We start from the raw sequence: 27,412 nt of genomic DNA, 5'->3' as shown, positions 1-27,412 counted from the left end.
TGGCACGCGCCTGTAATCCCAGCTACGCTGGAGGCTGAGGCAGAGAATTGCTTAAACCTGGAGGGGCGGAGGTTGCAGTGAGCTGAGATCGCGCCACTGCACTCCAGCTGGGGTGACAGAGGGAGACTCCATCTCAAAAAAAAAAAAAAAACAAAAACCATCAAACAGTGGCTTCTAATTGGTAGCAGTACAGGTTTCTTTATGGCACAGGTTTTGAACCCAGCTTATCACTTTGTTCAAAACCCCCTGCCTGAATAAAAAACTCAAAGCTGCAGAATTGCTGGCAATTCAACAAATGAGCGCTCATCCCCACATCATATGGCAAAACTGAGTGATAGCCTTTATAGTGTCATTTAAGACCCACAGAAAGCACGTTTCTCTGGGTGGTTTTCTTGAAAATTTGTACTCTAATGCCTACTTGTATTTTGATATAAAATGCTGTCAACTTACCATTAAGTTAAAATTGCCAATCAACAGCTACATTATCTTACTTCCTTCCCACCCAGCCTATCACAGTATACCGAGGGCCTTGCTGCCGAAGCTGCTGTATATTGACAACCACACATATCAGAAGCCTTTGGGGCTAAAAATCAGATTGCTGGCTGGGCGTGATGGCTCACACCTGTAATCCCAGCACTTTGGGAGGCTGAAGCGGGCGGATCACGAGGTCAGCAGTTCGAGACCAGCCTGGCCAATGTAGTGAAAACCCCCGTCTCTACTAAAAATACAAAAATTAAGCCAGGCATGGTGGTGCGTGTCTGTAGTCCCAGCTACTCAGGAGGCTAAGGCAGGAGAATCACTTGAACCTGAGAGGCAGAGGTTGCAGTGAGCTGACAGAGCGAGACTCCATCTCAAAAAAAAAAAAAAAAAAAAAAAAGATTGTTGAGCTTCAAACCTTTCTGGGGGCTGGGAGGAGCCAAAAATGTGCATTTTAAACAAGCATTCCAAGTAATTTTTTTTTTTGCATCCAGAAGTTTGTGAACCACTGCTATGATGAGGGCATGTGTATCCTAGGCTACCCAGAGATATACACAAAAGTTAGATTTCATATAGTCTATTTGTCTAAGAAAAATAAATGAAAAAGCAGGCCAAAGGAGTTGACATCTTTATTTCTTTCCTCAAAGAGATTTTAGCAATTACCAAACAAGAACCGTATCTCCTCTTTCTGTGGAGTGAGAACAGGAAGGGAAAAAATGGCATCGACAGATGGGTTGTCAATTAGTGAGGGATGAGGCCAGCCATCACCCTTTCAAAAATACATTTTCTTCTTAGATGTAAATTCTGCAGTGCAAGACGAGGGACTGGGACACGGGCTGTCTCTTAATTTTTTTTTTTAAGGCAGTTTTGCTCTGTCACCCAGGCTGGAGTGCAGTGGCATGATTTCAGCTCACTGCAACCTCCACCTACCAGGTTCAAGCAATTATCCTGCTTCAGCCTTCTGAGTAGCTGGTATTGCAGGCACACGCCACCACGCCCAGCTAATTTTTCTATTTTTAGTACAGACTGGGTTTTGCCATGTTGGACGTGCTGGTCTTGGACTCCTGGCCTGAAGTGATCTACCTGCCTCAGCCCCCCAAAGTGCTGGGATTACAGGTGTGAGCCACCATGCCCAGCCATGTCTTTTTTTTTTTTTTTTGAGATGTAGTTTCGCTCGTTGCCCAGGCTGGAGTGCAATGGCACAATCTTGGCTCACCGCAACTTCCGCCTCCTGAGTTCAAATGATTCTCCTGCCTCAACCTCCCAAGTAGCTGGAATCACAGGCATGCACCACCATGCCCAGCTAATTTTTTGTATTTTTAGTAGAGACGGGGGTTTCTCCACGTTGGTCACGCTGGTCTCGAACTCCCGACCTCAGGTGATCTGCCTGCCTGGGCCTCCCAAGGTGCTGGGATTACAGACGTGAGCCACCGCACCCAGCCTCTTAATTCTTAATGGGGCCAAATAATCCTTTCCCTCCGAAATATAAAACCAGGACAAGAGAAAAATGTGAGTTCTCTCACCACCTATTCCCACTACCTTCCCCCTTCAGAGGCCAAGTTTGGCTGCATGTGATGATCCCTGCTGCTCTGTGCTGTTCCTCACCCATCTCCACTGACCCAACAGAAGGTGGCGCTATTAATATTATGCCTCCTCTGACACCTGCTACCTGTCGATTAGCAGAGGATGTTTACCCCTCTGCTCTTGAAATCAAATGTCATTTGTCTGATTACATAGAGGCTATGTGAGAATGTTTTTCAAGAAGTCTAATAGGAAAGTGACTTTTAAAACTGAAATGTCTTGAGTACATGGGGTAAATGTTTCTTCATCCTCATTCACGCATTCTTGTTTCTTTCTCTCATATATACACATAATTCTGTTTCTTCTTAGAAAGAGGTAAATGGCCTTGGCAACTATGCCCCTGGCTAGAAGATGATGATCATGCTGACAACTCCATTAAATCAATCCACAGAATGTGTACGCAAGGACACTGAAGCCACTACTCATTTGTTCAGCCAAAGTTGCCAACTTAGAGACTGGCACAAAGCCCCGAGTTTTCCCTGCAATTCCTGAATTCAGAGGCATCATGCAGGCATTAACCCATATTTATCTTGAGGTCTGCCAAAGACGAATGCAAGTAGATGGGTGGCAGAGGTGAGATTTTCAAAGTCAGTGGGTTTTCTGGTTAAGAACAGGTGGGCGAGAGTTTGGGCTCCTCTTCTCTCATAGATGAAAATAACTGACAGGTTTTTACAAGATTTATGTCACAATCTAAAAATGATTCATTCTCCAAGGCATGGAATAGTTCTTGCTTTATAAAAATAGTACTGCGATTAAAAAAAAAGCACTTCTGCCAAAGGAACCATGTTCCAACACCGCAAACAAGGTGTTCTGCTTAAACAGAGTAAGATACACCACCCCCATCCATCCCTTCCTTCCCTGTTCCCCTCCCAACTTGAGTTGTGTCATTCGCACCAGTGTCCTGGGTGGTAGGGATGCTACAGCCACCTAAGGCAAGGAGCCCTGGGAGGTGGGAGGGCTTGCATGGTTAAGCACACCAGAACTGAAGCGCAAAAGGGTCAGCTGTCTTCATCTAGAATCTCTGGATGTTCCTTCCAGAAAGCATCCCCGATGATATCGCAGTGCAAGGGCACTGGCTTTGTCCTGGTCCGGGTCACTGCCATCTTTTTTCCTTCCATTTCTGTTGGCAGCTTAATTTCTTTTGTCATCACTTCATCCACCTACAGGTAAAAATAAAGTAGTGACATTGTTAAGTCAGGAGTGGGTTTGGGAGAGAAAGGAAAGATGTGGGGATAGCTCACTTTTTATCTTCATATACTTCCGACTGCCAGATTTGAGATATATATAGATATAAATATGTGTATATATATGCGCATATATGTATGTGTGTATATATACATATATATATAAAATCTCAGTATGCATGAAGTTCTTTATAATTAAAAATAGTTTTAAAAAGGTTATGTTATCCGAGCGCGGTGGCTCACGCCTGTAATCTCAGCACTTTGGGAGGCTGAGACATGCAGATCACTTGAGGTCAGGAGTTCGAGACCAGCCTGGCCAACATGGTGAAACTTTGCTTCTACCAAAAATACAAAAATTAGCTGGAAATCCCTTGAACCCAGGACGGGGAGGTTGCAGTGAGCCGAGATGGCACCACTGTACTCCGGCCTGAGCAACAGAGCAAGACTCTGTCTTAAAAAAAAAAAAAAAAAAGGTTATACTATTCTGAAGCAATCTTAGGAACAAAGAAAGGATTCCATGTTCCTCATTAGCAATAACTATAGAATTAAAGGTATTTCTTACCTTCCACCTGCATTAAGAAGTATCCAAGTCTGTACCAAAGAATAAATGTTTTGAACAACTCAAAGAGCTGGAGTTGCCAGTGGAATGACTAGCTCTCAAGGTACTCCTTGGTACTTGAAAACATTCATTTCAGAAAAAAAAAAAACAAAAAAACTTTACATGGAAGGAAATAAATTTAGAGAAATCATTATGCCTAACAGCTGGTACAGAGAGAAAATATTGGTAAAATTAAGGATATAGGTAAATGTACAGACTTATTACAGAATATTAAGCTAAGTATGAATGTCAAGGGAATCTCATGACATTTACGAAAATAACAAACCCTCATATACATTGTCTCTTAGTGCCTCATATTACAGTTGTCATGGGATGGAGAGACCATTTAATGGTATTATCCAGTGTGAAAGTATTTTTTAAGTATTTTATTAATGCACAAATCCTCATATCTGTACTGTATCCTTTTTAAAGGATTTTATCGGATACAGGGACAGCTTACAACACAGAAAAATAAAGGCACTAATTCTAAAATTCTGTAATTCTGCTTATGTATGGGAGATTTCGGACCACTACTGACAAAATGCACATTAAAAATAAGAATCTATGGCCTCTCCTCTTGGAAAGGTTTGCATTAGCAACTGGAGTAACATCAGCATACAGGCAGCAGGGAGGGCACAGCTTGGAATGGGCACAGGCTATCTTTTTTCCTGACTTCCATTTTTCTTTGAACATAACAGCATTACCTTCTGCCATATCAACACAGTCCCTTTCCTATACATCGGCAGCTCATTATTATAGTTGATGTTGAATTCAGAAAACAAAATCTCATTCTTGTCTGCTGCAAGAGTTCCCTGAGAAAATAAAAATAGATATTAAAAGCTCTGCATGTCTTCTTTCTCCCCTAGTGCTACTATCCATTCGACCCACAACCTAAATTTCCACAATCAAGAAGTGGAAGGATTTTATCAAACATCTTATAGTTATTAGTAAATTTTCATCTTAAGGGCAATTATGATCTTACTTAGATAAAATTCTCTCCTATACCAAACACTGGCTTCACAAGTCAAGACTGAAAGGGAGTGGGGAGAATTAATACTAACTGAATACATATTATGTATTTGGTCCAGTAAAACTTAGAAAGGTTATATAAATTCCCCAAGGTTAAAAGGTTGTCCTTATTCTTCTACGAAGAATTGAAATCTGAACTTGACTCTTCCAAACCTGGATATACCTACCAGTATGCCTTTTTTTTTTTTAGACAAAGTCTCACTCTGTTGCCCAGGTTGGAGTGCAGTGGTGCAATCTCAGCTCACTGCAACTGCCACCTCCCAGGTTCAAGCGATTCTCATGCCTCAGCCTCCTGAGTCGCTGGGATTACAGGTGTGTGCCAGCACACCCAGCTAATTTTTGTAGAGAAGCGGTCTCACCATGTTGGCCAGGCTGGTCTTGAACTCCTGACGTCAGGTGATCCACCTACCTTGGCCTCCTCAGAGTGCTGGGATTACATGCGTGAACCACCACACCAGGCCCCAGTTTTCCTATTATTGCTATATAAAAATCTCTATCATTACTATTATTAAAAATGACAACCATTTATTGAGCAAACATAATGTACCAGGCATTGTATTAGTAACTGTTACAGCTGGGCACAGTGGCATGCACCTGTAATCCCAGCTACTTGGGAGGCTGAGGTGGGCGGACTGCTGGAGCCCAGGAGTTCAAGACCAGCCTGGGGAAAATAGCAAGAACCCATCTCAAAAAATAAATAAATAGATAAAATAAAATACAAATAAAAGATCTGTTACAACACATTACCTCACTTCACAGTTAGTCATCCTACAAGTAGCACTGTTATAACAAAAACCAGTATTTATTAAGCACTTACAATGTGCTTCATACGATTCTGTGTTTTACGTGCATCATGCCATTTAATTCTCACCATAAACCTATGAGGTAGAAACTACTATTTTCTACATTTTACCTATAAAGAACTGAGGCAGAAAGGATAAAATTACACAGAAGCATGATGTGAGTAGTTATTATGACATTTATGAAAGTAACAAACTCAGCACGAACTCTTCCTATACACAGAGGTCATAAACCCAAGAAACTACAGGTGCCCAGCAGGGAAAATGGCAATGAGGGAAGAGGCGTGGTGGGACTGACAAAAATTCAGTGCTGGCCAGGTGTGGTGGCTCACTGGCTCACGCCTGTAATCCCAGCACTCTGGGAGGCCCAGGCAGGCAGATCACTTCAGGTCAGGAGTTCAAGACCAGCCTGGCCAACGGGGTGAAACCCTGTCTCTACTAAAAATACAAAAATTAGCTGGGTGTGGTGGCATGCACCTGTAATCCCAGCTACTTGGGAGGCTGAGGCACGAGAATCGCTTGAGCACAGGAGGTGGAGGTTGCAATCAGCTGAGATCACACCACTGTACTGCAGCCTGGGCAACAGAGTGAAACTGTGTCTCAAAAAAAAAAAAAAAAGTCAGTGCTGAAGACGGCAGTCATACACAGTCATACACGGCTTCAGGCAAGTGTTAGCACGTGGGAATGCAGAGCCAGTGCCGTCAATTCCATTTTCCACTAAGAACACAAAGGCTCAGGGAGAAGCAGTAATTCATCCAGGATTACAGACCAAGCAGGCAGCAGAGCTGCTCCTATTATGATTTTTATATCCTTTCAAAACAAAGCTGTACAGGGATCTTAAAAGAAAGAAATGTAAATTTAACAAAAAAAAAGTTATGGGAGAGCCTACAGCGAACTGTCCCCAGTTAAGTATTAATGTAGTAAGATCTTTATACCTGTAATCTCCCTTGGGCTTGTACTGGTGTTAGTCCAGATTGTTGTATAAGTGCCCAGAAAACTGTATTATAAAGATTATTGATGTGACCTGTGAGGAGAACAAAATAGTAATGTTTATATACATAAAATCTTTATTGAATATTCATTCTTCAAGGAATACTAGAGCCCTGACCCTCTCCTCTTTCATAGTAAAGAGATCTCAGAGACATTCAGTGACTTGACCGAAGTCCTACACACGGAACATGGAGGGAAGGAGCAGTAGGGAAAAAACTTCATCCCTAACAACAGTTTTATTTGGTCATTTCAGTTACACATTATACAAATCTGTTAACTTGTGTGTTAATCCTAGGAATACTTTAGAAGTTATTTGATTTATATTATTTCAATCTCTTTTCCAGTTCTTCTGGAAAATTCAAACTAGAACAAGCAAGTAAAAGCCTCACAAACATCATCACAGTCACATAAGGCAAGGGTCACAATTCAAATACCCACTGAGGCCAGCATGAACATAAATGTGTAAAGCAGTGGGTGACCCCAGAGGAACAACAGGGAATGGCAGAGACTATGGCACACTGGCATTTGTGTGTGTGTGTGTGTGTAAAGGTAGCTGCCACTGAACAGGCTTTGTCTAGTACTAAGTAAGAATGCAGATCCAGTATTGCCACATCTGATTTTTTTAAAAAATAGAGATAAGGCGGCTGGGCGTGGTGGCTCACGCCTATAATCCCAGCACTTTGGGAGGCCAAGGCGGGTGGATCACCTGAGGTCAGGAGTTCAAGACCAGCCTGACCAACATGGAGAAACCCCATTTCTACTAAAAAATACAGAATCAGCCGGGCGTGGTGGCACATGCCTGTAATCCCAGCTACTCGGGAGGCTGAGGCAGAAGAATCCCATGAACCCAGGAGGTGGAGGTTGCAGTGAGCCAAGATGACACCACTGCATTCCAGCCTGGGCAACAAGAGCGAAACTCTGTCTTAAAAAAAAAAAAAAATAGAGATAAGGAGTTTTTACGTAAAATTTAATTTTTCAAATACTTTTAACTAATTGAAAAAATATTTAAATACTGCATTCTGTACAACGTATATGTTGAAACAAAGTATATGTGAGCCAATCCTGTATCAGATCAACACCTGTAAGACATGGAATTGGTGGTTTAACTACATGTGTTTATTTGGTGCCACTCACAATCTGCTTGTCGCCAGCTGAGGTAGTCCTTTAAAGTCTGGTTGCTGGGATACACCACGACTCTTCCGTCAAAGCCTGGGGGATACAGAAGGGGCTGGTCCTCAAAGTAATCCCGCCAATAAAACACATAGCTGGAGGCAAACTGGGAGGCCACGTGAGTCATGAACTTACTTGAAAATGTAACGCACATTGGGTGGAGTAAGAAAAAGAAAAATACACGGAATTAGTTCAACACCATGATAAGACCTGTGGGTACCACAGAGAGTACACAAACTGCCCAGAAAGCCAGGAGATAAAATGCATTTGGCTAAGAAACACTATTTTAATACCTTGGTTCTGTATTTTTTTTTCTTTTTTTAGGACAGAGTCTTGCTCTGTTGCCTGGGCTGGAGTGCAATGGCACCATCTTGGCTCACTGCAACTTCTGCCTCCTGGGTTCAAGTGATTCTCCTGCCTCAGACTCCCGAGTAGCTGGGATTACAGGTGCAGGCCACTACGCCCAGCTAATTTTTGTATTTTCAGTAGAGATGGGGTTTCACCATGTTGGCCAGGCTAGTCTCAAACTTCTGACCTCAAGTCATCTGCCTGCCTCAGCCTCCCAAAGTGCTGGGATTACAGGCGTGAGTCATCACACCTGGCCAGTTATGTATTTTAAATGCAGCCTGCCTCTCCTTCCAGTTCTATTAAGTAACCTACTGATACTAAACCTTTCCCTACAGGATGTGATACGAATTTATGATTCAAGGGGTATTTTTAAATTTTATTTTATTTTTTAAAAGATGGAATCTCTCTGTCCCTCAGGCTGGGGTGGATTGGCACAATCATAGCTCACTGCTGCCTCAAATTCCTTGGCTCAATGGATCCTCCTGCCTCAACCTCCTTAGTAGCTGTGACTATAGGCACATGCCACTGAGCCCGGCTAATTTTTAAATTTTTTGTAGAGATGAGGTCTCACCATCTTGCCCAGGCTGGTCTCAAACCTCTGGGCTCAAGTAATCCTCTCCCTTACCCTCTCAAAGTGTTGGGATTACAGGCGTGAGCCACCACGCCTGATCTGTTTGTGTTTACAGTCATGAAAGGAGAGAAACCATTGTTGTAAAAAAAATGCCAATTCAGGCTGGGCGTGGTGGCTCATGTCTGTAATCCTAGCACTTCGAGAGGCCAAGACAGGAGAACTGCTTGAGGCCAGGAGTTTGAGACCAGCCTGGGCAACACAGAGAGACCCCACCTCTATTAAAAAAAGAAAGAAAGAAAAAACCAATTCATTATATGATTTGTTTCCCATACAGCGTTTCAAAATACTGCCAAATCAAATATCAGATTTGTGTATTTTATAATGAGATCTGTCTTGAGGAACAGTGTAATGCAATGCACGTAGAGACTATCACTGGCTAAAGCCAACCTATGAATTGTTAATATTACATTCTTATAGTCTCTGTTTCTAATCTTAATGTTCAATGCCAGGTCAGTCTAGAAACCAATCTTATGGGGCATGTGGGGAAAGAATCAGATAAAAGAGGCACACAGAATGCTCGGCTATCAGATGGAAGTACAACAATCTAAACAGGAAATATACATGTACTCTGCAGTTACAAATACTGCAGACATCATCTGTAGCCTGTAAGTCTGCGATTAAGATAAACAGAAAACCAGATGCTGGGAGGAAATATTCTGAAGAAAGGAGTTAGGTCATGGAATTACCTGGCTCTTCTTTTAAACCAATTGGTTTTCCGCTTGAACACAAAGCTGTACTCATCACTCTGTCCATACGCGATCACAATATCCTCTAGTTCTTCCATCACAGTCTGCGCACATTTGGTCATCAGCTGGAGAGCACGGCTGTCATTGGGTTTTGCAAAGTTGTGCTTCTCAGCAAACCTTCACAGGGGAAAAAGGGAAGAAAGCATGGATGGAAGCCTGTCATTAACAACACGCTCTGTTGCTAGATAACAGAGGCTGTTTGGAGGAAGATAATGTAATAGCACTGTGAACTCAAATGCTCAACTAGCCACAACCTGATCCATTTTCTTAAGAACTTAGTTTTTTTCCTGCCCTGAAATTGAGAAAGCCAGACAGAAATGCTAAGCCTCAACTCTCCTTTCTGTGAAATGGGAATAAAAGAATATTTACCTCATTGGGTTGTCCTGAAGATTAGGGAGAAGATAAAAGTAATCATACCTAGCTCCTAGTAAGTGCTCAATAAATGTTAGTTATAATAATCATTAACAATGCAGCCCTCTTCAAAGATTAAATTCCCATCTTTCTGTTATATTTCTTTCTCCCCCTCCCTCTTTTTCTGAGACAGGGTCTTGCTCTGTCACCCAAGCTGGAGTGCAGTGTCCAATCACCGCTCACTGCAGCCTTGACCTCCCAGGCTCAAGCGATCCTTCCACCTCAGCCTTCCCAGTAGCTGGAACTACATGTGTGCACCACTGCGCCGGGCAAATTAAATTTTTTCTTTTTCTTTCTTTCTCTCTTCCTTCTTTCTCTCTCTCTCTCTCTTTTTTTTTTTTTTTTTTTTTTTTTTTTTGTAGTGGCGGAGTTTCACAAACAACAACCACAGAAAAAACAAAACAAAAACAAAAACTTGGTCTCCAACTCCTGGCCTTAAGTGATCCTCCTGCCTCCCGCGCCCAGCCTTCTCTTTTTTTCTGACTCTCTGTTGAATCTAGTCCATGTGGCCTGTTACTGATAATGAAGCACAGACGTTAAGTATTGCCCACAAGCAAGGCTTACACAGACTTCTGAACAGTCAGCATTCAAAGATATCTAACAGAATAGCTAGGCAATTGGCTTAAGAGCTTAAATATTGTGCATGAGAGTGACTTTTAACAACAGGTCCTTGCTAACAAGTCTCTGTTCACTTAACACGGGCACTCCAAGCCAGATCCTCATCACGGGAGCACATCGCCCATTCAATTACGCTAACAGCCAGCGTTCAGGCACTGTCCTAGCCAACACGCAGGGCGGGGCAATGCTCCATGCTGCGCACTCATTGGCTACCGCGTTACCCTGGTAACCGTGACTGGAGCGGGCGGGAGGACTTGCAAGGGAAGAAGCTGGATTCCCCGGAAGCGCTGGCGCATCGCGACGCCCCGAGTCGAGCTCGCTCACCGATGGAAATTCCGGCCGTCCAGCCGCACTACCACCCAGCAGTGTGCCAGGCAGGTGTCGTCAGCCTCGAAGTCCCTCACGTACTCGAACTTGCTTTTTGCCATGGTCGCCCCCAATCTCAGGTACCGTCTCAGAGTGATGGAAATGGTGGCCAAGGAATCGTGAACCTTAACTTTACAGGCGCCCCACATTCTACACGCGGAAAGGAAAGGGCCAGATAGCCCCGCCCCGGAAGTGTTCTCTTCGCGGCTACTCTAGCCGTAGGGCAGTCATAGTCTCTCTCGCCTCTCCCTGTAGTTCTTAACCTCCCAGGCAAAGAGGATGGAGGTTTAGGTTCCTCCGTTAGCACCTTCCACGCTTGCTTCTTCCTCCTCCCGTCCTGCGGCAAATCAGTCTCACGAGGTTTTTAAAAATTATTTTTTATCTGCTGGTCTTGACTTACTGGCAAAAGCAATCAGTGTCCCCGTTAGTGCCCAGATCAAAATCATACCCCAACCTAAAAAAAAAAAAAAAAAAAAAAATTCTTTTTCTGGTGTTTGAAGGTGTAGCTGTGATGTTTCCCCTTTTCTTAGTGGCATTTATTAACTTGTAGAAAATCTGGAATACACCAAAACTATAGTTAAGAAAATTAACACTTTGTTTCTCCGTCTTTCCCATCAAAGCATTGTGGATGGTTCCTTTCAGTCTTTTTTCTTTTTGTGTATGTAGGTTTACACAGGGAATGCACAAGATTGGAATTATTCGCCTATACAATGTTTATATATTTTTCCACTCAGCTTGAGCATTTGCCAGTATCATCAATTATTCCAAAGTGTGATTTTTAAAAGAAAAATGGACTCAATATTCCAACATATGGGTATACTAAATTGATTTATTCAACTTTTTCACCATTAAATAATCACAGAACCAGTGTTTGATATCTTGTTGCTGGTGGATAATAGTAAAAATAAAATCCTAATATTTGTGTCATACTTTGTGATTTACAAAGCTCTTTCAAATTCATTACCTACTTACTTACTTTTTTTTTTTTTCCATCCTCAAGAAAGATATTCAGGCCAGGCACGGTGGCTGACGCCTGTAATCCCAGCACTTTGGGAGGCAGAGGCAGGAGGATTGCTTGAGTTCAGGAGATTCATACCAGCCTTGGCAACGTAGCAAGACCCCTGTTCCTACAAAAAAGAAAAAAAATTATCCAGGCTTAGTAGCCCATGCCCGTAGTCCTAGCTATGGGAGGATGAGGTGGGAAGATACTTGAGGCCAGGAGTTCGAGACTGCAGTGACCCATCATTAGCCACTGCACTCCAGCCTTGGTGACAGAGCAAGAATCTGTCTCTAAAGAAAAAGAAAAATATTCAAACAATATAAATCCTTTTATATGTAGCAAAAAGTCTCTCACTGACTCCTAACAACATACTTTAGGCAGTTACTGTTACCAGTTTTTTGTGTATCCATACAGGGATCTATATCAGTATGTGTGTATATCCTCATAATAGTACCACAAATGGTAGTCATCACTCCTTTGATGCTCAGAGTAACATCAGAGGGATGCAAAAGAGGAACTGGGATTTCACCTTTACAAAGGGGAAATCTGAGACTCAAAGAGAAAAAAATAATTTACATAAGGTCACATATGTGGCAGGACCAAGACATAAATTATGACATCCTGCATCTTTTCTTTGTTTCTGTTGCTGTGAAGTCAGTTTTCTGTAGGTTATCATTCCTCACCTTTTACTTCCACAAACTCCTCTCTCCAAGCTGACCAGGAGACAACCAAATCTTGCCTCCTCTAGGAGCCCTACTTTCATTAGGTGAATTTTTCAAAATTACTTATCAATATGAATTCATGATTTTTATTTTTTTTATGTGTATGTTTTCGAGACAGAGTCTCACTGTCACCTAGGCTGGAGTACAATGGCATGATCTCAGCTCACTGCAGCCTAGACCTCTTGGGTTCAGGTGAACCTCCCACCTCCCTTCCTAGTAGCTGGGACTACAGGTGCGTGCCACCATGCCCACCTAATATTTGTATTTTTTTTTGTAGAAACAGGGTTTCCCCATCCACATCCCACACTGGGAGATGAGACTCCTATCAGGGATGGGCTGAATATAAAATAAGCCAATTGGCTTTGGGTTGCTTTGCAGTGAAATGCATAGTAGAAGTACTACACTGTCTTCTCCCATAGCATCTATATGGTCTTTACATAAATTAAGCATTAAAATAACAGCATAGCAAGGAGGTCTTAAGATGCTAATCTGCCCTTTAGTAAAAGGGTTATAAAAGGTTTGTAAAGTTTTCACCTCATGGTCAAATTGGTTAGGATTAAATGGAATAATCTATAAGGTTTCATGTAAATGAATTGGGGTTAACATTAATAAATTAATGCAAGGGTAAAATTTTGCTTTGAACAAAATTTTCATGTCATAGTAAAGGCTAATGAAAGGTTTTTGCCTTTTGAGTCATCATTTTGGCAAAATAATTTATGGCAATCTGGAAATTGTCCCTCCGGATACCTGACTTTTTGGTTGGTTCAGAGGGCCCCAAAACATTCAGAAAAGAGATAAATAGGATCATTTGACATGTTTAGTCATAAGAGATTGCCAAAATGATGTCCAATCTTCTTTAAGTTATATTTTGATGAATAATACTAATATATGTTCCAAAATTGTATGGGATTTCTAAAATTCTAATGTCTAAGTATAGCTATCAATCATATTACCCTCAATCAATTAAGGGTAAAGTTATTGTAAACCATGAAGATAAGTAAACTTCGTCAGTCATATTTTTAACTATCCTGGAAATTTTTCATTCACAGACAATTGTTGTCTTGCTTTGTTCCTTCTCAAAAGATGGTTTATAATCAAGCTATGTGAAGGAATTTAACAGGTGTTCTCAAATGCAGGTTTTTAATAGCTTTAAAGATTGTAACATTGAAATAAAGAATGTAGGGACTCAGAAAGAACTGACATATTGACAAATGTCAAGCAAAATAAAAGTTTACTAAGTGGACTACACTCAGAAAGTTAAAGCAACCTTTTTAACCTTTGCTTGGAATATTGTCGATCTTTGTTTTGATTTTCAGAGTCAAGGAAAGTTATTTTAAACTATTTATGGACTTTAATAATTGAGTAAGTTATACTGTGAAGAAAACTTGGAGCATGTTTATTTTTCTCTGCCTGGTTCCTCTAGAATTTGGAAATTATCTGTGAGTACTCTTAACTTATGGGAATATAGTTGTTCATCTCAGTGCAATCAGAATCCATTTTTCTTTGTAAACAGGACACAGTTGGAAAAACTGGTTATTTTACCAGGGATTTGACTGAAAGGGTGTGTTTCCCTTTAAGGAATCAAGCTTGACATGCAAAGCCAATAAAAGCCCCTTGGGGAGAAATGGCCTCATACCTTGTCTGCACAGTCCCCACACAGGGTTCCTAACCTGTGGTCAGTAAAGAATGTCACTTTCTAACAGGTCTGGAAGCTCTGAGTTTATCTTGGGACCTCAAGAGGGGAGGATCACCCAACTCACAGGTATTAGAGGATAAAAACCCATGGCTGGGCTCAGCTTTAAAAGTCTTATCTGAAGGCCAGGCACAGTGGCTCATGCCTGTAATTCCAGCACTTTGGGAGGCTGAGGTGGGTGGATCACTTGAGGTCAGGAGTTCAAGACCAGCCTGGCCAATATGGTGAAACCCCATCTCTACTAAAAATACAAAAAGTAGCTGGGCATGGTGGCAGGCGACTGTAGCCCCAGCTACCAGGGAGGCTGAGGCAGAAGAATCACTTGAACCCGGGAGGCGGAGGTTATAGTGAGCCGAGATTGCACCATGGCATTCCAGCCTGGGTGACAGAGCAAGACTCCATCTCAAAAAACAAACAAACAAAAGTCTTACCTAAAATTCCTTGAGGAACAGAGTTTTATCAAAGCCAATCCAAAAGGCCTATGTCAAAATAACCATTCTTGCTGCACTTTAGGCAAATAATCAGGCCAAGTATAAGACTAAAGTTTATTCATAATTAGTTTTTACCAAAATGAGGACTGGAGAGAAAAACTTTGCTCCAAAGCTTATCATACATTTGTCATTAAATCCTAGTCTCATTATTGTTTTTAAGCTTTTTGCCTACAATTTAGCCCTGCTTACTCCTGTGAATCAAGTGGTGATCTTCTGCAGCTTGGGGAAAAAAAAAAGGGATGGGTAACATAAAAATGTGAATCAATATGCTAGTTCTGGGCAATTATCTTGCAAATTCTGCCAGGTAATGAAAGTGAGTAAGGTGCCCATAACCTGGAGGTTTCTTTGTTTGCGAAAATAAAACCAAGGAACTTCATAGACCCCCAAAGGGGAATTCTATATCTTGGCAAGTAAAATTTTAGATGGAAATTACCTGCCACACCACACTTGTGGGAACTGCTGTCCTCACTCTACTATTTGCATTAGGGTTATACATGGTAGCACCTTCTTTTTTTTGTTTTATTTTTTTAAATTTTAACTGATCCTTCTGATAGATTTTTTTAAAAATTATTATACTTAAAGTTCTAGGGTACATGTGCATAAGGTGCAGGTTTCTTACATAGGTATACATGTGCCATGTTGGTTTGCTGCACCCATCAACTCATCATTTACATTAGGTATTTCTCCTAATGCTATCCCTCCCCCAGGCCACTATCCCCCAACAGGCTCCAGTGTGTGATGTTCCCCACCCTGTGTCCAAGTGTTCTCATTGTTCAGTTCCCACCTATGAGTGAGAACATGCGGTGTTTGCTTTTCTGTCCTTGTGATAGTTTGCTGAGAATGATGGTTTCCAGCTTCATCCATGTCCCTGCAAAGGACGTGAACTCATCTTTTTTTATGGCTGCATAGTATTCCATGGTGTGTATGTGCCACATTTTCTTAATCCAGTCTATCATTGATGGACATTTGGGTTGGTTCCAAGTCTTTGCTATTGTGAATAGTGCCACAATAAACATATGTGTGCATGTGTCTTTATAGTAGCATGATTTATAATCCTTTGGGTATATATGCAGTAATGGGATGTCTGGGTCAAATGGTATTTCTAGTTCTAGACCCTTGAGGAATTGTCACACTGTCTTCCACAATGGTTGAACTAATTTACACTCCCACCAACAGTGTAAAAGCATTCCTATTTCTCCACATTCTCTCCAGCATCTGTTGTTTCCTCACATTTTAATGATCACCATTCTAACTGGCGTGAGATGGTATCTCATTGTGGTTTTGATTTGCATTTCTTTGATGACCAGTGATGATGAGCATTTTTGCATGTGTCTTTTGGCTGCATAACTGTCTTCTTTTGAAAGTGTCTTGTTCGTATCCTTTGCCCACTTTTTGATGAGGTTGTTTTTTCTTGTAAATTTGTTTAAGTTCTTTGTAGATTCTGGATATTAGCCCTTTGTCAGATGGGGAGATTGCAAAATTTTTCTCCTATTCTGTAGATTGTCTGTTCATTCTGATGGTAGTTTCTTTTGCCGTGCAGAAGCTCTTTAGTTTAATTAGATCCCATTTGTCTATTTTGACTTTTGTTGCCATTGCTTTTGGTGTTTTAGTCATGAAGTCCTTGCCCATGCCTATGTCCTGAATGTTATTGCCTAGGTTTTCTTCTAGGGTTTTTATGGTTTTAGGTCTAACATTTAAGTCTTTAATCCATCTTGAATTAATTTTTGTATAAGGCGTAAGGAAGGGATCCAGTTTAGGCTTTCTACATATGGCTAACCAGTTTTCCCAGCACCATTCATTAAATAGGGAATCCTTTGCCCATTTCTTGTTTTTGTCAGGATTGTGAAAGATCACATGGTTGTAGATGTGTGGTGTTATTTCTGAGGGCTCTGTTCTGTTCCATTGGTCTATACATCTGTTTTGGTACCAGTACCATGCTGTTCTGGTTACTGTAGCCTTGTAGTGTAGTTTGAAGTCAGGTAGCGTGATGCCTCCAGCTTTATTCTTTTTGCTTAGGATTGTCTTGGCTATGCAGGCTCTTTTTTGGTTCCATATGAACTTTAAAGTACTTTTTTCCAATTCTGTGAAGAAAGTCATTGGTAGCTTGATGGGGATGGCATTGAATCTATAAATTACCTTGGGCAGTATGGCCATTTTCACAATATTCTTCCTATCCATGGGCATGGAATGTTCTTTCATTTGTTTGTGTCCTCTTTTATTTCGTTTGGCAGTGGTTTGTAGTTCTCCTTGAAGAAGTCCTTCACATCCCTTGTAAATTGGATTCCTGGGTATTTTATTGTCTTTGCAGCAATTGTGAATGGGAGTTCACTCATGATTTGGCTCTTTGTCTGTTATTGTTGTATAAGAATGCCTGTGATTTTTACACATTGATTTTGTATCCTGAGACTTTGCTGAATTTGCTTATCAGCTTCAGGAGATTTAGGGCTGAGACGATGGGGTTTTCTAAATATACAATCATGTCATCTGCAAACGGACAATTTGACTTCCTCTTTTCCTAATTGAATACCCTTTATTTCTTTCTTGTGCCTGATTGCCCTGGCCAGAACTTCCAACACTATGTTGAATAGGAGTGGTGAGAGAGGGTATCCTTGTCTTGTACTGGTTTCAAAGGGAATGATTCCAGTTTCTGCCCACTCAGTATGATATTGACTGTAGGTTTGTCATAAATAACTCTTATTATTTTGAGATACGTTCCATCAATACCTTGTTTATTTAAAGTTTTTATTGAGAGTTGTTTATTGAAAGTTTTTAGCATGAAGGGCTGTTGAGTTTGTTGAAGGCCTTTTCTGCACCTATTGAGATAATCATGTGGTTTTTGTCTTCGGTTCTGTTTATATGCTGGATTACGTTTATTGATTTGCATATGTTGAACCAGCCTTGCATCCCAGGGATGAAGCCGACTTGATTGTGGTGGATAAGCTTTTTGATGTGCTGCTGGATTCAGTTTGCCAGTATTTTATTGAGGATTTTTGCATCGATGTTCATCAGGGATATTGGTCTAAAATTCTCTTTTTTGTTGTGTCTCTGCCAGGCTTTGGTATCAGGATGATGCTGGCCTCACAAAATGAGTTAGGGAGGATTCCCTCTTTTTCTATTGATTGGACTAGTTTCAGAAGGACTGGTACCAGCTCCTCTTTGTATCTCTGGTAGAATTCGGCTGTGAATCCATCTTGTCCTGGACTTTTTTTGGTTGGTGGCTATTAATTGTTGCCTCAATTTCAGAGCCTGTTATTGGTCTATTCAGGAATTCAACTTCTTCCTGGTTTAGTCTTGGGAGGGTGTGTGTGTCCAGGAATTTATCCATTTCTTCTAGATTTTCTAGTTTATTTGCATAGAGGTGTTTATAGTATTCTCTGATGACAGTTTGTATTTCTGTGGGATCAGTGGTGATATCCCCTTTATCATTTTTTATTGCGTCTATTTGATTCTTCTCTCTTTTCTTCTTTATTAGTCTTGCTAGTGGTCTATCAATTCCGTTGATCTTTTCAACAAACCAGCTCCTGGATTCATGGATTTTTTGAAGGTTTTTTTGTGTCTCTATCTCCTTCAGTACTGCTCTGCTCTTAGTTATTTCTTGCCTTCTGCTAGCTTTTGAATGTGTTTGCTGTTGCTTCTCTAGTTCTTTTAATTGTTATATTAGGGTGTCAGGTTTAGATGTTTCCTGCTTTCTCTTGTGGGCATTTAGTGCTATAAATTTCCCTCTACAAACTGTTTTAAATGTGTCCCAGAGATTCTGGTATGTTGTGTCTTTGTTCTCATTGGTTTCAAAGAACATCTTTATTTCTGCCTTCATTTCATTATGTCCCCAGTAGTCATTCAGGAGCAGGTTGTTCAGTTTCCATGTAGCTGTGTGGTTTTGAGTGGGTTTCTTAATCCTGAGTTCTCATTTGATTGCAGTGTGATCCGAGAGACAGTTTGTTGTGATTTCTGTTCTTTTACAGTTGCTGAGGAGTGCTTTACTTCCAATTACGTGGTCAATTTTAGAATAAGTGCAATGTGGTGCTGAGAAGAATGTATATTCTGTTGATTTGGGGTGGAGAGTTCTGTAGATATCTATTAGATCTGCTTGGTGCAGAGCTGAGTTCAATTCCTGGATATCCTTGTGAACTTTCTATCTCGTTGATCTGTCTAATGTTGACAGTGGGGTGTTAAAGTCTCCCATTATTATTGTGTGGGAGTCTAAGTCTCTTTGTAGGTCTCTAAGGACTTGCTTTATGAATCTGGGTGCTCCTGTATTGGGTGCATATATATTTAGGATAGTTAGCTCTTCTTGTTGAATTGATCCCTTTACCATTATGTAATGGCCTTCTTTGTGTCTTTTGATCTTTGTTGGTTTAAAGTCTGTTTTATCAAAGACTAGGATTGCAACCCCCCCTTTTTTTCTTTTTTTTGCTTTCCATTTGCTTGGCAGATCTTTCTCCATCCCGTTATTTCAAGCCTATGTGTGTCTCTGCATGTGAGATGGGTCTCCTGAATACAGCACACTGATGGGTCTTGACTCTTTATCCAATTTGCCAGTCTGTGTCTTTTAATTGGGGCATTTAACCCATTTACATTTAAAGTTAATATTGTTATGTGTGAATTTGATCCTGTCATTATTATGTTAGCTGGTTATTTTGCCTGTTAATTGATGCAGTTTCTTCATAGCATCGATGGTCTTTACAATTTGGCATGTTTTTGCAGTGGCTGGTACCAGTTGTTCCTTTCCATGTTTAATGTTTCCTTCAGGAGCTCTTGTAAAGCAGGCCTAGTGGTGACAAAATCTCTCAGCATTTGCTTGTCTGTAAAGGATTTTATTTCTCCTTCACTTATGAAGCTTAGTTTGGCTGGATATGAAATTCTGGGTTGAAAATTCTTTTCTTTAAGAATGTTGAATATTGGCCCCCACTCTTTTCTGGCTTGTAGGGTTTCTGCTGAGAGATGTGCTGTTAATCTGATGGGCTTCCCTTTGTGGGTAACCTGACCTTTCTCTCTGGCTGCCCTTAACATTTTTTCCTTCATTTCAACCTTGGTGAATCTGACAATTACGTGTCTTGGGGTTGTTCTTCTCGAGGAGTATCTTTGTGCTGTTCTCCGTATTTCCTGAATTTGAATGTTGGCCTGCTTTGCTAGGTTGGGGAAGTTCTCCTGGATAATATCCTGAAGAGCGTTTTCCAACTTGGTTCCATTCTCCCCATCACTTTCAGGTACACCAATCAAACGTGGATTTGGTCTTTTCACATAGTCCCATATTTCTCAGAGGCTTTGTACATTTCTTTTTACTTTTTTCCTCTAATCTTGTATGCTCACTTTATTTCATTAATTTGATCTTCAGTCGCTGATATCTTTTCTTCCACTTGATCGAATCAGCTATTGAAGCTTGTGCATGCATCACGAAGTTCTCGTGCCATGGTTTCCAGCTCCATCAGGTCATTTAATATCTTCTTTACACTGTTTATTCTAGTTAGCCATTTGTCTAACCTTTTTTCAAGGTTTTTAGCTTCCTTGCAATGGATTAGAACATGCTCCTTTAGCTCAGAGATGTTTGTTATTACCGACCTTCTGAAGCCTACTTCTGTCAACTCATCAAAGTCATTCTCCATCCAGCTTTGTTCTATTGCTAGCAAGGAGCTGCGATCCTGTGGAGGAGAAGAGGCACTCTGGTTTTAGAATTTTCAGCTTTTCTGCTCTGGTTTCTCCCCATCTTTGTGGTTTTATCTACCTTTGGTCTTTGATGTTGGTGATCTACAGATGGGGTTTTTGGTGTGGATGTCCTTTTTGTTGATGTTGATGTTATTCCTTTCTGTTTGTTAGTTTTCCTTCTAACAGTTAGGTCCCTCAGCTGTAGGTCTGTTGGAGTTTGCTGGAGGGCCACTCCAGACCCTGTTTGCCTGGATATCACCAGTGGAGGCTGCAGAACAGCAAATATTACAGAACAGCAAATATTGCTGCCTGATCCTTCCTCTGGAAGCTTCGTCCCAGAGGGTCACCCACCTGTATGAGTAGTCTGTCGACCCCTACTGGGAGGTGTCTCCCAGTTAGGCTACATGGGCGTCATGGACCCATTCAAGGAGGCAGTCTGTCTGTTCTCAGAACTCAAACACTGTGCTGGGAGAACCACTGCTCTCTTCAGAGCTGTCAGACAGGGATGTTTAAGTCTGAAGAATTTTCTGCTGCCTTTTTTTCAGCTATGCCCAGCCCACAGAGGTGGAGTTCTATAGAGGCAGTAGGCCTTGCTGAGCTGTGGTGGGCTCCACCCAGTTCGAGCATCCAGGCCACTTTGTTTACCTACTCAAGCCTCAGCAATAGCGGACGCCCCTCCCTGCACCAGGCTCCAGCCTGGCAGGTGGATCTCAGACTGCTGCGCTAGCAGTGAGCAAGGCTCCATGGGGGTGGGACCCACTGAGCCAGGCACGGGAGAGAATCTCCTGGTCTGCCAGCTGCTAAGACCATGGGAAGAGCCCAGTATTTGGGCGGGAGTGTCCTGTTTTTCCAGGTACAGTCTATCATGACTTCCCTTGGCTAGGAAAGGGAAATCCCCTGACCCCTTCTGCTTCCCATGTGAGGTGACGCCCCACCCTGCTTCGGCTCTCCCTCTGTAGGCTGCACCCACTGTCCAACCAGTCCCAAAGAGATGAACCAGGTACCTTAGTGGGAAATCACTCGTCTTCTGCGTCAATCACACTGGGAGCTGCAGACCAGAGCTGTTCCTATTCAGCCATCTTGGAACAGACCTCCCATGGTAGCATCTTTAAACTGAAATATTGGACAGAGAGTTTCCATTGCTGTAGTATTTTGCTTAATTATTATCTTTATAGCAGGGATAATAGTTGACAAAAAGGAAGCATGAAAGTTTTACCATCACTGAGTCTGCTAGGCCTTTTTTGGGGTTTAGTAATGCAGTTTTAAATGAAACATGCTGCTTTTGGATTAACACCGCTAGTAAAGTAGAGGAAAATCTACAGGTACTTAAAAATCAAATCAGCTGGGCATGGCAGCTCATGCCTGTAATCCCAGCACTTTGGGAGGCTGAGGCAGGCAGATGACCTGAGGTCAGGAGTTCGAGACCAGCCTGGCCAACATGGTGAATTCCTGTTTCTACTAAAAGTACAAAAAATTAGCCGGGCATGGTGGCACGCACCTGTAATCCCAGCTACTCAGGAGGCTGAGGCAGGAGAATTGTTTGAACTCGGGAGGCGTAGATTGCAGTGAGCCGAGATCACACCATTGCACTCCAGCCTGGGCAACAACAGCAAAACTCCATCTCAGAAAAAAAAAAAATCAAATCATAATTATTGACAGGCTCAGGAAAAATGACAGCTTCAGCTCTGAGTGGCTACAATCCCTTTTTAATAAATTCCAGTCTTCTTTATGGAATTGGTTAACCCCTTTTTTAAGCACTCTCTTGCTTATATGTCTTGTATTGATATTTGGAGCCTATATACTCAATACTATAACTCAAATTGTTTCTTCTCACCTAGAAGCAATCAAACTCCAAACGGTGCTGTAAACTGAAACACACATGGAGATGCCATTCTTCTGAGGACCCTTAGATCCACCCCAGGAGGAGCCCTAGCTGCTGTTCCCCCATGTGACTCCCCTTTTCAGCAGAAAGTAGCCAGAAAGAACCATAACCCAAAACCCTCTAACAGCAGTTAGTGTGGCATCTCCATAGCGGGGAATGTTGTAGGAAGAGAGGTCCTTGGGAAGTTTTCTTTTTTTCTTTTTTTTTTGAGACAGAGTCTCACTCTGTTGCCCAGGCTGGAGTGCAGTGGCGCAATCTCGGCTCACTGCAAGCTCCGCCTCTCAGGTTCACCCCATTCTCCTGGCCCAGCCTCCTGAGTAGCTGGGACTACGGGTGCCCACCACCACACCCGGCTAATTTTTTTTTTTTTTTTTTGTATTTTTAGTAAAGACGGGGTTTCACTGTGTTAGCCAGGATGGTCTCTATCTCCTGACCTCGTGATCCTCCCGCCTCGGCTTCCCAAAGTGCTGGGATTACAGGCGTGAGCCACCGTGCCTGGCCAAGGGAAGCTTTTGTTTTTTAAAGCATCTCTGGAAAAGTTTCTCTTAAATCCCTGGCTCTTAGCAGCAGCCCACCAACCTTTGATATGCAAATACTGACCATTAGAAAGTGGGCCCACCCAAACATGGAGATTCCTGTGGCCTTCCTGCCCTTTCCCCACATGTTCCTGGCAACATGGCCACCTCCAAATATCCCCAGGAGTGTAGAACATCATGGCGCCCTACATTTGCATATTAAAAGGCTAGGGTGGGAGGGTCAGCTTTTTTACAGGCTACGTGAATGTCATGCCTAGTCAAACCAATCCCTTGAGCCCTGTGCAAATCAAACACCACCTCCAGCCTCTGCATATATACCTGGCTGGTGTCCCTGCCAGGTGGGGACCTCCTCTTTCAGCTTTGGAGCCCCCATCCCTGTGTCTCTGTATGGGGGAGCTTCTTTCTTCTGTCTTCTCCCTTCCTTCTTACCTATTAAACTCTCCGCTCCTTAAAAGCAAAAAAAAAAAAAAGAAAGAAAGAAAAAACAGGGTTTCCCCATGTTAACCAGGCCGGTCTCCAACTTGTGGGCTCAAGCTATCCGCATGCCAAAGCGCTGGGATTACAGGTGTGAGCCACTATGCCCGGCCCTGAATTCATGATTTTTAAAAATGTATTTTCCAGGCCCAGTGCGGCGGCTCATGCCTGTAACCTCAGCACTTTGGGAGGCCAAGGCGGGCAGATTGCTTGAGGCCAGGAAATTGAGACCATCCTGGCCAATGTGGTGAAACTCTGAGCTAAAAATACAAAAATTAGCCTGGCATAGTGGGGCATGCTTGTAAATCCCAGCTGCTCGGGAGACTGAGGCATGAGAATCGGTTGAACCAGGGAGGAGGAGCTTGCAGTGAGTTGAGATCTCACCACTGCACTCCAGCCTGGGCGACAGATCCAGATAATGTCTCAAAAAAATAAAGTGTATTTCCCAGCTCTGTCCATTGGGTGGAGATAAAATGACACTCCAGAAGCAGTAAGCATCCAGATCTTAACTTCAAATTACCATTCCCCATGAAAATGAAAATAAACTCCTTGAAGAAATGGCTGGCTCCACATTGTGGCAGAGGAAATTCTAGGCGAGCCTGGGACACTGTGTTGTCCCAGAAAGGAAGGAAATGCTCAGACTAATGAGTGTATCTCAAAAAAGATGAGCCAGCTTAAAGGGGTTCCCACTGGCCAAATATGCGATAATTTGGGCATTGATAAAAATAATAACTATAATTGATTGCAATTGTATTGCAATTGTATTGATAGTGCCTGTAATCTTAGCTACTTGGGAGGCTGAGGCAGGATAATCGTTTGAACCCAGGAGGCAGAGGTTGCAGTGAGCCAAGATAGCACCATTGCACTCCAGCCTGGGTGACAAGAGCAAAACTCCATCTTAAAAAAACAAAACAAAACAAAAACACACACGCCAAAAGAACATAATCAGACATATTCAGGATGCAGGGTATTATGTAAGATCACTGACTTGGCTTCTTCAAAAGTAAATTTTATCAAGAAGAACAATATCTTTGAACATGTGTCCTAGGAGAAAAAAGGAAAATGAAAAAGGAGGAGAAACAGGGAAGAAAGAAAAGGTAAGTGGAGGGCTGGGCATGGTGGCTCACGCCTGTAATCCTAGCACTTCGGGAGGCCAAGGCGGGTGGATCACTTGAGGCCAGGAGTTGGAAACAAGCCTGGCCTTGATGGGGAAACCCTGTCTCCACTGAAAATATAAAAATTAGCCAGCTTGGTGGCTCATATCTGTAATCCCAGCTATTCAGGAGGCTGAGGGAGGAGAATTGCTTGAACCTGGGAGGCAGAGTTTGCAGCAAGCCAAGATTGTGCCACTGCACTCCAGCCTGGCCAACAGAGCAACACTGTCTCAAAAAAAAAAAAAAAAAAAAAAAAATAGAAAAGGTAAGTGGGGACTGTTCCAGAATAAGAGATTTAAGAGACATAACAACCAAATACAATGCAAAACTCTTGACTGGATACTGGCCTAAAAACCATTAAAAACAGCTCTAAATTCACTGGGGAAATCTGCAATTACAAACAACCCTAGGTTTTAGTGGTTTGTAAAACAAAAGTTTATTTCCTGTTCAAGTCACTTGTACTGCCAGTTGACTATGGTTATATTCCTGATAGCTGTTTTGATCCCTGTGTCTTACCCCAAAACCCAGGAAATGATTAGAAAAGCTTCTACACCGCACAATGTGCATCTTGCTGCTCACAATATGTTTGCTGAAGCAATATGGCCAAGCGCTAAGATTATAGGGGAAGAGTGTGTCATCTTCCCATAGAGAAGAGGAAAGTGAATACTTTTGAGTAATAATATAATCTATTGCCACTCTTTATTAGTGGATACTAGGGAATTTTAAATTTTACAGGTATGATAATGTAGTGTGTAAAAGACTAATCTTAGGAGACACACTAAGAAGTATTTAGGGATGAGATAGTAACAGTAAAAAAGTAGATTGGTAGTAAAAGCAAAAGTGGCAAACTGTTAACAACTATTGAATCTAGTGGTGGTTTTATGGGTATCCATTATATATTTTTTTAACTTTTCTACATGTTCTGGGTGGAATTGTGACTCTCCTAAAATATGTTGAAGTCCTAACCCATATATCTGTGGATGTAACTTTATGTGGAAGTAGGGTCTTTGCCCTATTGGCTACTGTAAGCAATTAAAATGGGGTCATTAGGATGTGCCTTTAGCCCACTATGACTGGTTTTCTTATAAGAAAACAGAGACACACACAGAGAGGAAGAATGGCACCTGAGGAAGGAAGCAGAGACTGGAGTGATGCATCTACAAGCCAAGAAAGGTCAAGGATTGTCCTTGACAAGGCTGAGGCAGGAGAATCCCTTGAGCTTGGTAGGTGGAGGTTGCAGTGAGCTGAGATGGTGCCACCGCACAGAGACAGGGTAAGTCTCTGTCTGAAAAATAATAATAATAATAATTGAGATCACAGATTTGGACTGCAGAAACTGAGCTTTAAATTATCAAAGTGACAGGAAGATTAGGAAATCTGCCAAATGTCCGTTAAGGATGAACCAGAATGATTTGACAGGGCATATTTGAATGAACTGATAGAATAAACATAATAGATCAATATTGAACTAAGATGAATCAGGAAACTGGTTATGGTAAAGATAACTGCCATTTTTTTGAGCACTCGCAAATTGCTATGTGATGCTGCATAAACCTTGTACAGGTCATCCTTTTTCATCCTCAGAATAATCCATTTTACAAATGAGAAAACAAACAGAGGCTTATAGGGATTAAAAGTCTGCACTTTTAGCCACAACACTCTCCTGCTCCAATAAAATAGTTAGCACATGCTATGTCCCTGGTGCTGTGTTAAGCACTCAGGATACATTTTCTAGACCCATCCTCTCAGCCGCCTTGTTGAGAAGCATTATTCTCCTTACTTATCAGATACCTACAAGAGATACAATAACTTCCTGCAGTACTATATATGGGAACCAGGGAAGCTGGGAGACTCATCCAGATCACTGTCTTTACAGGTGAATTCTACCTAGATCCTACCTACTCTCAGGGTTCTGACAGGTGGAGAAGATAAGACGATTATACTGCAAGGGAAAACATGGTGGGTGTCATAGAGTTCCCACAGACAAAGTACCATGAGAATCCCCAGGAAGAATGTTATTGAAGGGGAAAAGTAAACCCTAAATTTCTTTGAAACTCACAAACCCTTTTGTAAAATTCTGCACACAGGGAATATAAAATGGTGTAGCTGCTATGGAAAACAGTATAGCAGCTCCTCAAAAAATTAAATATAGGGCTGAGCATGGTGGCTCACACCTGTAAGTCCAGTGCTTTGGGAGGTCGTGTGTGGAAGACTACTTCAGCCCAGGAATTCAAGACCAGCCTGGGCAATATAGCAAGATCCCATCTCTAAAAAAAAAAAATTAAAAACAACCGCTGGGTGCGGTGGCTCATGTCTGTAATCCCAGCGCTTTGGGAGGCCGAGGCCAGCAGATCACGAGGTCAAGAGTTGGAGACCAGCCTGACAAACATAGTGAAACTCCGTCTCCACTAAAAATACAAAAATTAGCTGGGTGCAGTGGCGCATGCCTGTAATCCCAGCTACTCAGGAGGCTGGGGCAGGAGAATTGCTTGAACCCGGGAGGCGAAGGTGGCAGTGAGCCAATATCGCACCACTGCATTCCAGCCTGGGCGCCAGGGCAAGACTCCATCTCAAACAAACAAACAAACAAAAAATTGAATTACCATTGGTCCTGCAATTTCACTTCTGGGTACATAGCCAAAAGAATTGAAAACACAGTCTCAAAGAGATATTTGTACAGCCATGTTCATAGCAGCTTTATTCACAATAGCTAAAATGAAGAAGGAGCCTAAGTGTCTATTAATGGATGAGTGAATAAGCAAGATGTGGTATGCATACACAATGAAATATTATTCAGCCTTAACAAGGGATGAAATTCTGACACATGCTACCACATGAATGAATCTTGAGGACATTATGCTCCATGAA

General features: G+C 42.0%; 1 protein-coding gene across 5 annotated transcripts, besides 3 other annotated features; it reads right to left on the bottom strand.

Annotated features, from left to right (window-relative positions):
• Positions 1-1,089: 1,089 nt before the first annotated feature.
• THG1L (tRNA-histidine guanylyltransferase 1 like) lies at positions 1,090-11,119 on the bottom strand. Of its 5 annotated transcripts, NM_001317826.2 has the most exons (7): positions 10,530-10,740; positions 9,924-9,937; positions 9,495-9,671; positions 7,794-7,963; positions 6,605-6,693; positions 4,545-4,652; positions 1,090-3,218 (listed from the first exon to the last, which is right to left on the bottom strand). In NM_001317826.2, exons 2-7 carry the CDS (start codon positions 9,926-9,928, stop codon positions 3,057-3,059), a joined length of 711 nt encoding a protein of 236 aa, NP_001304755.1. In that variant the 5' UTR covers positions 9,929-9,937; positions 10,530-10,740; the 3' UTR covers positions 1,090-3,056. The 5 variants fall into 5 exon arrangements, with proteins under 5 accessions (NP_001304755.1, NP_060342.2, NP_001304754.1 ...); NM_017872.5 differs by lacking the exons at positions 9,924-9,937; positions 10,530-10,740 and adding an exon at positions 10,908-11,119; NM_001317825.2 differs by lacking the exons at positions 9,924-9,937; positions 10,530-10,740 and adding an exon at positions 10,908-11,119 and having other exon boundaries at positions 7,794-7,959.
• Positions 10,843-11,202: an enhancer, noted in NCBI's record as "active region_23531". NCBI's record gives its function as "activates an Ori minimal core promoter by ATAC-STARR-seq in GM12878 lymphoblastoid cells {active_cell/tissue: GM12878}" and the evidence as "EXISTENCE:reporter gene assay evidence [ECO:0000049][PMID:35858748]".
• Positions 12,519-12,598: an enhancer, noted in NCBI's record as "active region_23530". NCBI's record gives its function as "activates an Ori minimal core promoter by ATAC-STARR-seq in GM12878 lymphoblastoid cells {active_cell/tissue: GM12878}" and the evidence as "EXISTENCE:reporter gene assay evidence [ECO:0000049][PMID:35858748]".
• Positions 12,629-12,748: an enhancer, noted in NCBI's record as "active region_23529". NCBI's record gives its function as "activates an Ori minimal core promoter by ATAC-STARR-seq in GM12878 lymphoblastoid cells {active_cell/tissue: GM12878}" and the evidence as "EXISTENCE:reporter gene assay evidence [ECO:0000049][PMID:35858748]".

This window comes from Homo sapiens, chromosome 5 (assembly GCF_000001405.40).
Source record: "Homo sapiens chromosome 5, GRCh38.p14 Primary Assembly".
Lineage (NCBI taxonomy): Eukaryota > Metazoa > Chordata > Mammalia > Primates > Hominidae > Homo > Homo sapiens.
This window is presented reverse-complemented; position numbering and strand designations above follow the sequence as displayed.